This window comes from Homo sapiens, chromosome 15 (genome assembly GCF_000001405.40).
Source record: "Homo sapiens chromosome 15, GRCh38.p14 Primary Assembly".
Taxonomy (NCBI): domain Eukaryota; kingdom Metazoa; phylum Chordata; class Mammalia; order Primates; family Hominidae; genus Homo; species Homo sapiens.
Genome location: NC_000015.10, coordinates 46,634,899 through 46,646,727, shown reverse-complemented (window position 1 = coordinate 46,646,727; position 11,829 = coordinate 46,634,899). Strand labels below are relative to the sequence as shown.

The 11,829-nt window shown below is 37.4% G+C and overlaps 1 long non-coding RNA gene across 2 annotated transcripts in view; it reads right to left on the bottom strand.

Moving 5' to 3' along the window:
• Positions 1-7,917: 7,917 nt before the first annotated feature.
• The window catches only part of LOC105370803 (uncharacterized), a 31,061-nt gene continuing 27,149 nt past the window's right edge, over positions 7,918-11,829 (bottom strand). The window contains exons 3-4 of one of the 2 annotated variants that reach the window (XR_932193.3): positions 9,643-9,818; positions 7,918-8,578 (exon numbers count right to left, since the gene is read on the bottom strand). This is a non-coding gene — a long non-coding RNA (uncharacterized LOC105370803). The remainder of the gene's footprint in view (positions 8,579-9,642; positions 9,819-11,829) is intronic. The other variant, XR_932194.3, reaches the window with a different exon arrangement.

Here is an 11,829-nt window from a genome sequence, read left to right as displayed (position 1 = left end):
CTAAGGATCACAGTTATTAGTCTCTGAAGGTGCTAGCACTTGAGACCAAGTCTGAGGTGATTAAAATGCCTTAGCACTTTGAGGATCAGTGCCCTTCCATCACTTCTAGTCTCCAGCTGCTTCCCTGTCTGACTCGCCTTCTGTCTCTCATTATGATCCATCATTATCCATTTTAAGGTCTGTATAAGTCATGTGAATCAAGGAAAATTGAGAACCTTTGCAAAATACATTTCTACAGACATGCACCACTAGTAAAGAGATGGAAACACTGACCCAATCCCATTATGTCTCCAATTTTATAAATATGCTTATTTTGTCTTTCAGATACCTTCTGTTCTCCCTTACTAACATGCTCTTTATTTCTCTGTCTTTCACATGTGCATGCACAAATACACACATACATACAAGCATACCATGCATTGGCCTAGATGAGCTATAAAGATCGCTTGTCAGCTGAGGTTTTCGTTTTACTGGCCTTACAACCATAACACTAGGAAGGTAATGCAGCACCTGGCCATTAGCTGTTTTTGCGTAATGTATAGCTTTCTGACATTACTGCAACATATGCCCTCTCTGTTGCACACAAACAGGTTTAGTCTACAGTTTCACTATGTTTACTCTCCACTGTTTCACTAGGGAGACAATGACCTCATGGCTCCCCATCATTTCTATGAAGCTTCAAATCAGAAACACCCCAAAATGGGACCCACAAAGATCTCATCCAAGCAGAATATACCTGGATTTTAAGTATTTTCTTCACTCTGAATTCTTAGTGGAGAGTGAGATAGAGGATACAGAAAAGAAAGAACTGTGAATACTGTAAGCTTTTCAAGTCTTTCCTCCCTTTCTGGTGGATTTCAGTTATTTAAATCCACGTTTTTAGGGTAATCTGCACTGCAGGTAAGTAACTCATTCATCCCCTTAATGCAAGTAAGAATATGGATTCACTGGGCTTAATTCTGCAACTCGTGATGAGGAGGTTGTGAGGGGCTACAAACCAGAGACTAAAGAGTCTTGTACATTTAATTTTAAAAGTACCCCACAAAAGAGTTGGTTAGAGAGGTGTGGTCATAAAAGGCTGCAGGGAGGCAGACTATGCCCAGAAAAAGGAGGCTGCTTCATCTGGATGTGTCGAGAAGAGTCCTCAAAGCCTGTTTTTATGATTACCACCAACGCATGCAGTCCTACACAGATTAATTTTGAGACCAACTCCTGAGAAGAAGTGCCTTTTAGAAGAAATCCTCTTGTTGCTCCTTTATTCCCCACTGTCATCAAATATGTGGACTTATATTCACATATTCTTGAAGCCACCCACATAAGGGGACTGACATCTGCCTTAACAAGAAACATACAGAATCTCCCACATGAGATGCTCTTTATAAAAAGTTCAAAGGAAGATAGCAATAATATGAAACCAATAGTTACAAAAACAGAAAGAAAACCCATCGTGGTAGGTATATCTGTGACCAGAATGACTACATGTTAAGAGTAAAGGTTAATAATTAAGGCTTATGACAAACCGATGAATAAAGATTTTAGCTGAACCCAACTGACTCTGAGATATTAAATGAATATATACGTAAAAATAAAAAATATAAAGGTATTGCACCTATTGTGCATGGATTTTTTCCCTCACTTTTTCCTCAGAAAGTAAATGACACTTTAAAATGGATACTAGTAGAAGCCACACTGTGGTATCTATGATAGAAAGGAATATTTCATACATGTGGAAGCCCAGAGAAGAAATCCTTCCCACTCTGGTTCCCAGGAGGTGCCAGGATGTCACTAGAAAAAACCAGCACTGCACTTGGTCTACAAACCATTAATCCATTATTTATACCTCAAGTATCCACAATTTTATAATCAACAGCATGGTTAACAGCAACAGAAATGGACAGGGAATAGGGTAGACATGGATGAGTTTTGGAAACAGAAAATGAGGGATGTAAATGTCTGAAGATAGAACTTCTGTTTCTGTTACCTGGAAGGTGGCAACCTGAAAGAGAAACTGAAACTTAACACTCCACTTTTATGCCAGTAATCCCTGTGCTCTTTGGAACTGTCTCCACTTGATAAACAGAACATAAAATAACATCTGCTGCATGCTGTTTTTTTTTTACTTATCACTTGCAGAAATTCAGAAATCAAATATTAAAATGTGAAAATCACGTGGTTTTCTAATGCATTTACCTCATGTACAGGATTGAAATAATCAGAAATAATCAGTGCTAATCCATTTCTCCAATCTAGCTTTCTGACTCAGCGGTTCCATTTCCCCTCCCTTTCCACTTCTAAATCAAAAATCACACGTATACACATACAAATCCATTTTTACCTTGGATAACATAAACAGTAATCATCATCCACATTATTACAGAAGATTAGAGGTACCATCAAGGGACATAATCTGCACTGTACTTTTATTCATCAAGCACCATTTATGTGAAGGAAATTTAGGTGGATAATTCCACAACCTGGAAATTATGAAGAATAGGCTTACTGAAACAGAGCTGCAGAGCAGGTAGAAGCCTGTTTTCATGATTACCTTTAAACACAGGGTTCTATGCGGAGAGGTATTAGATCTGACCCCTGGAAGGACCTGCCCCTTCAAAGCTGTGCTGTTTCCTGCTTCTTCATGCACTGATAGTGCAGTGCATGGCCTTATGTCCATCTGCCTTCCCTTTTCAAGGATTGGTATCTGCCATACCAGGAAGCATATGGAATCTCCTACGTGAGGCCAGGTGTGGTGGCTCATGCCTGTAATCCCAGCACTTTGGGAGGCTGAGGCAGGCGGATCACAAGGTCAAGAGATCGAGGCCATTCTGGCCAACATGGGGAAACCCTGTGTTTACTAAAAATACAAAAATTAGCTGGGCATGGTGGTATGTGCCTGGAGTCCCAACTACTCGGGAGGCTGAGGCAGGAGAATCGCTTGAACCCAGGAGGCGGAGGTTGCAGTAAGCCAAGATCGTACCACTGCACTCCAGCCTGGCAACGGAGTGAGACTCTGTCTCAAAAAAAATAAAAATAAAAATACTCCTATATGAGTTAAAGGGATGCTTAAGTCTAAAGGTCCTCTTCATGGCTATTAGATAGTATTTGGGGTCCTTGCTTTGTCCCTCTCAGTCCTTTCATTTGCTTGTTATTGATCAAATATATTTGTCTGCTGAATTACTGCTTTTTGATACTCAATCCCCATACATAGAACCTAAGGATGATAGTCAAAAATAAAAGAATTTTTTAAAGTAAGCAACATTGTGGAGATATTGATAGAGACTATTGACTGCATTAGGAAACCATGGAGGAGTCGATGTGCTTAACTGCACAGGTTTGGTGGTTAAAGCTATGGGAAAGGATGATATTTCCATGGGAAAAATTAGGAAGAAACAAAAGATAATGATTGAGTAAAGAACCTTGAGAATGCCTACATTTGGGGCATGAAAACTAAAAGGAGGTAGCAAAATGGCAGAGAAGAAATGCTCAAAAGTGAAAAAACTGTATGACCATTATTGATAGATTGACTCATTCATTTGTTCATTCATTCATTTAACAAAGTATTCTGAGCTCATTCAATGTGCCAGTTCCTGGTGTAAGTGCCAGGTGTGCAAAAGGAGACAAATCAGACACACTGCTAGCCTCATGGAACTTGCAGTTTAGTAGGGGAGACAGACATTAATCCAATAATCTGACAAATACATGTAAAATTGGAGCTGTGACAAGGGCTCTGAAGGAGAGGAATGTTGTTCTCTGAGTGTTTAATGGGGTGAGTGACTTGGTCAGGGAGTTCACAGAAGACTCTTTGGGAAAGTGACAATTAACATATGAAGATAAAATGGAAGTTGATGAAATCAAGAAGAGGGGAAATATGCAGAGGGACTTCGTGTATACTAGGGCCAGTGGGGAGAATGGGATTGTAAACGAATCTAAGAAAAACTGGTGTAGCCACAGCTCAGGAAGCAAAAGTAAGACTCACGGATGTGAGGCTGAAGCAGTGAGAAAAGGCTGGGATCATATTTGGCCAAATGGGCTGCATTAGGGATGGTGTTCTTCATTTTCAGAGCAAAGGGAAGACATTGACAGGTTTTATGTATGGGCGATATAATCAGTTTTGTATTTTGAAAAAAGAACTCTGCCAATGTGTAGGAAAAAAAAAGGATGGTTCGGGGAAAAAGCGGGTGCAAGATGATGAATTAGGAGCCATTCCTGCAGGGCTTACCTTCCACTCAGGCTTACTTTTGCTTTCTAATCTATGACCATACCAGTTTTTCCTAGGTTCATTTATGAGTCAGTTCTTCCCACTGGCCCTAGTGTATGTGCAGTCCCTCTGCATGTCATGGTGTAAGGTAATAAAAGCTAGAATTAGATACATAGCAGTGCATAGGAGCAGAGGAATGTGGATGCAGAGATTTTATAGGAGTTAAAATCAACAGAGTTGGCCATGAAAAATATACAGGTCCACTTGAGTGCCATGCCACTGGTCAGGGGAAGGAAGAGTTTTGGAAATAGGGTACTAGTACTGATGCCTAATATTTAATAAACGAAGACAGGAAACTTTGAATTGGATTTATTAAGATACTACTTATTATTTCGGTAATTTTAGTGAATTGGTGGTTGTGGAAGCCAGATTACAAGGGCTTTAAAAGAAGAGTTAGAAGCAATGAGTATAGTCTTCTCATAACTATATTCATTTACTTAACAAAATTTTATTAAATTCTTATGAAATAGACACCATGCTACATGCAGTAGGTGAATTGAAATCACATGATTTCCACCCTGTAATTTATTAGCCTAAAAAAGTAGTCAAGAACTCTCACTATATTTTCAAGATTATTTCTGCCTATAATAACCCTATGAGGTAAATTTTTTTCATTTTTATATAGTTATGAAGAGCAAAAGAGGATAAATAATTTGCCTAACCTCACTCGCTAGTCAGTCCAAAACTGAGATCTGAACTTAAACAAACGAAAAGCTTTGCCGTGCTGGAACCCAGTGAAAGAGACAGGTGCAACAGGTCCATCACTTACCCAGTGATGGCGCTAGAATAATTATGGGCAGAAACCTGAAGGAGCATCAAGGGGTCAGGCACATGTGCTGGCTGTGGGACAATCAGGATTTGTCAAAAGATCTTTAGACTCAGCAAGCAGAAGCTTGAAGGGTTGCAAGGTCAAAAGATTTTGATTTTTTTTTTTTTTTTAATGAGAGGATGTTTGTAGCTTGGCAGAGTTGTATAGTGCACAGGCTCTGAAATTAAATAGATTTGAATTTCAGTATCAGTGATGTAGCATATTAGCAGTGTAACCTTGTCCAAGTTACTTAAGCTCCTAGAATCTCAGGTTTTTTGATGTGTAAAATGAATTAAAAATGCTATTTCACAGCTCTGATGTGATGGTTGATAGTTTTGAGGGATGTCGAGATAAGAACACACACATAAATTGATTGGCCCATAACATGTACTCAATAAATCTCACTTTCTCTCTCCCCTTCTTTAATTATTATTAATTTTTGCTCCCTAATTCCCCAATATGTTTTAAAGCAAAGATCAGAAATAAGATATATATATATATTTAAAAGGCTGGTGAATTTAGAGAAGTCAGGAGGGAGTAGAATTACAGGAAAAAAAGGAATTCGCTTTAGTAGAGGTGAAGAACAAATTTTTCTCTGATGTGGGACTAGTCAGTGAAGGTCTAGAGAATATTTGAGAAGTAGACTCCTGATGCATGTTCTATGCCTCTCCCTCTGTTTCTCCTTCCCACGTGCCAGCCAGCAAGATGTACTATGTACAAGAAAGCAGTATTGTTACTGTGGCTCTCTGGTTATACACCTGACTAATTGTTTTATAGAAACATTTTTTCGTAACAGAAAACCTGCTCACAGAAGAATCAAGCCATTGACAAAATCAATTTGTATTTTAGCCTAGTATTTATATTCTGTGAATTTGGGGATTTAAATGGAGGTTAAGGAATTACAGTTATATAAAATATCTGAATTTTCAGGTAAACCTTATCTTTCTTCAGTTACCTACTTTTTTTTTTTTTTTTTTTTTTGGTCAAGAAATTCTGGCTTTAAGTAAAACCAAGCAGGAAAGCTAACATCAGAAAAAAAGACACTGAGAAAAGAGGAAAATCTGCAGCTACCTGCCCTGGGACCACCACCATCTTCTGGTCAGTGTGATCCCCATGCTTCTGTTACTGAACTTGGAATATAGGGGCCAACTTAATCTTGGGCCCAGAGAAGAAACACTTCCCTCAAACTTTGGGACCAAGACCCTCATTTCCTCTGTGGGCCCCAAAGGTGTGGGGAAATGAGGTGTGACTAGTCTTGTTCCCAGGATATCATTAGGGAAAGGGAGCAGAAAACTCACAATGAAGTTCTTTTGTTTTTTATATAAATTTATTTTATTTTAATTTTACCACAGTTTTTTTTTTTGCTTCTTTTATATGGCCTCATTTAATAAAAGGAAAAAAAACTAAAATTCCATTTTCTTCTTTAAACCTACAATTATGCTCACATTGAGCATAAGTAAATAAAATTATAAATTTAAGCCAGGTACAATTATACCTGGCTTAAATAAAATTCCCTTTCTTTGCAAATTTTGGTCAAAAATATTCATGCTAAAGTAAAAGATAGGTCTTCAAGTGGCTTTTCTAAACTACCTTGAAGCAGTTAAACCCATCAATCTAGTTCCCATATCACAGGTCATAACTAAGGTCTCATGCCTAACTGAAAGTTCCAGCACAGGGACATCCAAAGACCAGACTGTAAGGTAGATGCTCTGCCTCCCGCCCTTGCAGCACCCCCCGTGTGCTCTGCCTTCACCACTCCTTCCTTCTTGGGTCATTGGCTCTGGGAAAACAGTGTTTGCACTCTTCCCTTTACCAACCCTGCCCTGACAAAACAGTCTTATTGAAAATTTGGAAACATGAAAACCTGCCCAACACCAAATATTACTACCAGACTCCAAAATATAGGCCATGTCTATGAAAGTGGGAAACATAAAACAATGTTTTAAAGGAGAAAATAGAATCATTATCTGATCTTTGGAAATGGTGGATTTCTCACCTTTGAAGCAAAAACAGTAATTGCAAAGGTTTAGCCTGACCAATTCAAAGTATATTTGAAATATACTTGAAATCTAAAACTTGTAGAAAAATGAAAAAGCAGTAAAACTGAAGTTAAAATACTTGTATCAAGTATAGCAGACCAAAAGTGGTCTTTGTGTGAAACAGTATTGAAATGCAGAAACAAAACAACAAAGAAAAATTGTTTCACCATATAGGTAAAGATCAAAGTGTTTGTAAAAAGCACTCACATTAGATAAAACACAAATAGAAACAAACGTGGATGCTCCTTGACTTCAGATGGGTTTCCTGATAAACATAATATGTGAGTCAAAAATGCATTCAATACCCCATAAAGCCAGGACAAAATTGAAAAATCATAAGTTGAACCATTGTAAGTCAGGGATCTTCTGTACATGAGGGAATATTTTCATGCTTCTACATAGTAAGAAAATAGAAATAGTGTTGACAAAGCTTTGGTATGGCTTTTAACTTATACACAACTCTGTTAGCTGATACAACTGATTTGTAAAATAATGCAACATAAACATATTCATATCCTTTGACTGAGTACTCTCTCCTCTGGGAATTTATTTTAAAGCAATAATTCAACATACACAAAGTCCAAATGAATAAAAATGTTTGTTGTGATATATAAATAAAACAAACAAAACCACCAAAATATTCAACAATTAAAAATGGCTTACTATGTAACATGAGCAGGAGATAATTTAGTGAGCCATTAAAATTATAATTATAAAGGCTTTGTAAGCACATAGAAACAAATTCTAATAGAAACACCATATCTCAGCACCATATACCATGATTACCTTCTGAGTATGTGGTATTCATTCTGGGGAAGGCAGTTTGTAGCTGAACACCTGGGTAGTATTGTAGGCTAGCCAAGGAGCAAGGACTGAATAGAGCTGAATGTTCTATAGAATTGAGGAAAGAGAACCAAAAGTTTGCAGGGGATTCTCAAGTTGCTGACAACTGACAACCTGCTGAGGTTTATGGATGGAGGCAACACAGAGAAATGCCATGGAAGGGATAAGATTGTCAAGAAGGGATTTTGGAGAACATAATTAATATGAAACTTTATTAATAGTTGTTTGCTATTGGTGCATAGTGTAAGCCCTCCTCTGTCTTCCTGTCAAAACTGTCAGAATAATTAGTGTGGATATGTTCTTTAGGAGAACTTCAGAGGGAAAACCCAGCAGGCTTAATGGGGAGTGATGAAGACAAGTGGTCTGAAGCTACTTCAGACATAATATTGATAAGGCCTTGGAAATTTTCTAAGTCTTTCCGGGCTTCAGCCTCCTCATTTGTGAAATGGAATAGTAGTGTATCTACTTTCAAAGGGTTGCTCTGAGGATCGCATGAGATAATACACAGAAGGCATTTAGAACAGTTTGTCATCATCAGTCATCATCATTATTCTTGTCATCAGACTTCGGAGCAGAGATGGCATCTATGGATTCAGGATCTAGGTGGCAGAAGTTGTAATCAGGGCTGTGGGCCTGTATAAAATTTATTTAAAAATATTGGTCAATATTTTTGTTGCATCAAATCAACTTTTTTTTTAAAAGCAGAGAAAGTTCAATTTAGTAGATGGCCTCAGTATTTAGTCTTCACTTAGAGATGTTTAGTAGATGATAATTAAAGTGAAGAAATAGGAAAATCAACAAAGTTGAACTTCAAAGCAAAGAAAACAAATCACCAAAATTGAACAAATATTAAATAATGAGAACCAGTAAGGTAAGAAATATATTTGATCAGAAAAAAGGCAGTGACAGCAAGCATGAAAGAAAAGCAGTAATATACTTGTGATACCTAAATTTTATTTTAATTTCATTTTATTGTTTCTGATTATGGAAGATAAAGCTACCAGAAACATGATCATTCAGAGAGTTGATCTGAGATGCTAAGATGTCAATCTGAATTTTTTCCTGGAATTATGAAGAAGTGCCTAAAGACATTCTATTAAAGAGAGAGATAGAAAAGTGATTTTTAACTTGAATTTTGATATTTTTTAAACTTGAAACATTACAGGACTTAGTATAATGGAGGATAAAGGATAAATTATTATAAGGTAATGTGAATGTGTGATTATGATATAAATGTAATTTTTAAAAGCCTTATATATTTTCACTTTTTAAAATCCTTTTCAAATTCTCTATTATATTTATAAATATTGTGATTATTTAATTCTGTGTAGATATTTAAACTTGGACTTCATGGATACAATTTTTCTGAACAATACTAATGATCATCAAGTTCAAATCTCTGAGCAACCGGTAAATAGGTATTAAGGGCCATGCGCTGATTCTTAATTGTGTTGTTACATATAGGTCTGTTATGCATCAATGGAAAGAAAAGAGGTAGAGCTATAGAAAAAGTACAAGAAATTTAATCCAAAACCTAGCTTATCTATATAATCTTTCCACCCATCTGATGGGAAAATATCATGCATATGAGCTTTATCCTTAGGCTACGCCCAAACCACTTTTTCTCCAAAAAATGCTTGAGAACCACTAGGTAAGCAAGCACTGCAGGAAAAGAACACTTTAGCATTAAGTCAAACCTTTTGAGGTTAGCAGTGAGGTCCTGACCTCAGATGGAGCCAAATCCCATGTGAGTTGGCAGTGTTGCTTGTGTTTGATCCTCTTTACAATAAGTCATTTGGCTTGCCAGTATCAAGTAAAAGTCAAAAGACATTCTCCACCACTGTATCTCAGTAGATTTCATACTGGAAATTTCCTATAAAATAATTCTAATTAGGATAGATGTATAAATATTTCTAAGTTAAAACAGTGCCCGTGGCAGTTTGGGGTCACACATCTTTTTTTAAAAAGCTATCTTTCAATGCACACTCAAAAGGAGGCTTTTCTTCTAGATGTCTCTATCCTCATACCTTTATCTGTGTTGATATCATCTATGTCCCTTTCCAAGTGTGTCCCAGAAGGGATGGTGTTGTGAACAGCCCATTGATCCAGGATGTGAGCATTTCCTCCCTGCCCAGCAGAAGTCTGGACACCCAGGATGAGACTGGCTTAATGGTCGAGGCCAGCTATTTATTCTTTTCCCTTAAATGCATGCACACATATTCCCTTCCCCTACCACCAACACACACACTCAGAATTTTTTTGTAGATCCATTTCTCTTCCTAATGGTATTTGGCAAGAGACCAAAGAAGCTGCAATTCCTACTCCTACCTCCAGATCCAATCGTAATCCAAGCTCTTTGCATAGCTAGGGTTATAGGCATGCAGTGCACCCTGGGGCATGAAACTGATTGCTCAACTGGAAATGTATTGAAGAGAAAGAAAAAAGAAATGAGCACATTAAATGCATTTTGGTCTGGGTTTTGTCTCACTGTGTAGAAAGCTCAGGGCCTGCTGGGTTTCCAAAGCTTTGTATAAACTAAATATTACTGGAAACAGTGCATCACAGCAGTCATTGCTCAGTACTTTTTCTCTTTTAATTCAGTAGGGAAAACTTGTCACTCCATATATCATTTACAACTTGCTGCAGTGATTCCTCAAAGTTAGAAGATACTGTACACTGTGAATAAAAACACAGGGAGGAAAGGGAGTTCTGTACTATAGGATTTTCATCAGGTAGCATTTCTAAGTAAAATGTATCTGACACCAGTAACAGAAAACATGGACTGAAACAAATGCCAAGAAAATCAATAATTGCAAAAATCACATGGTTAAAAGGCATGTACTTATGTGCTTTTTCTCTCAGTGCTGATTTTTCATTTCGTATTTAAGATGTTCAGAAATAACAAAAAACTCTGCTTCATAAATTGCAAAACTATGCCTCCTATCAGAAATCAAGTGTAGGGTATCCTCAGTCCTCTGTTACACAGTTGGGAACATAGAAAAAGAAGAAAGAAAAAAATGCCAGGAGACAGCTGTCAAAGAACCAGCTCCCTACACTTGTTACTTTACTCCATGAAAAGCCACTGACCATCCACTTGGAAACCTATGGACTCTTATAGCATACTCATATGAATACCTGTTTTCCAGCCTAAAAAAAAAAAAAAAAGGAAGAAAACACCAATTTTAAAGAGATAGTAGAAGGGAATGAAAGGAAAAAACAGAAGGGCGGGAAGATAATACTTGAAGCAGGCCCTCTAATGAGAAGTCTCAACTGAAGCCTACTTTTCTACAGGGGAAGTCTGAAAACTTAAAAGCACAAATAGAATAGCTTGAGGCCCTTTAGTGCAGAGGAAAGAAGTCTCACATGCTTTAAGAGCCTCTGAAGGCTTCAGTTTATACAGCACAGCAAAATCATCGATGTTCTTCATGTAATGTCATTAGGGAGATAAAAAGTATATTTAGTACATCCTGCTTTAGCAGGTTAGGGGATGTAGAAGAAACTTTAGAGAGATTTTTTAAATGACATGTTTAAATTTTTAAAGAGATTTTATACTTGAATTAGTTACATGCAAAGTCCCTTTATATGAAACATTTCCCTCTGTGACAATGCCAAGAAAGCAAATAACTACTGTATAAGTTAGTTGCATAAACATGTTGTAATTATATTCTCTTTAATTAAGATGAGCAAATAACACATCACTGGTCTGAATTTATTTGCCTCTGTGGTGATGGGTGAGAGCGTGGGTGGGAATGGGCGTCAGCACTTCAGGGAGTTTATGTTCCCAGCTAGATAGCCTGGAACTTTGTGTGACCCTGAAAAGTTCATTTCGTCTTGGGGAGAGTCAGTCCTAAGAAGTAGCCCTCTATTCCCTTGGTAAATAACTC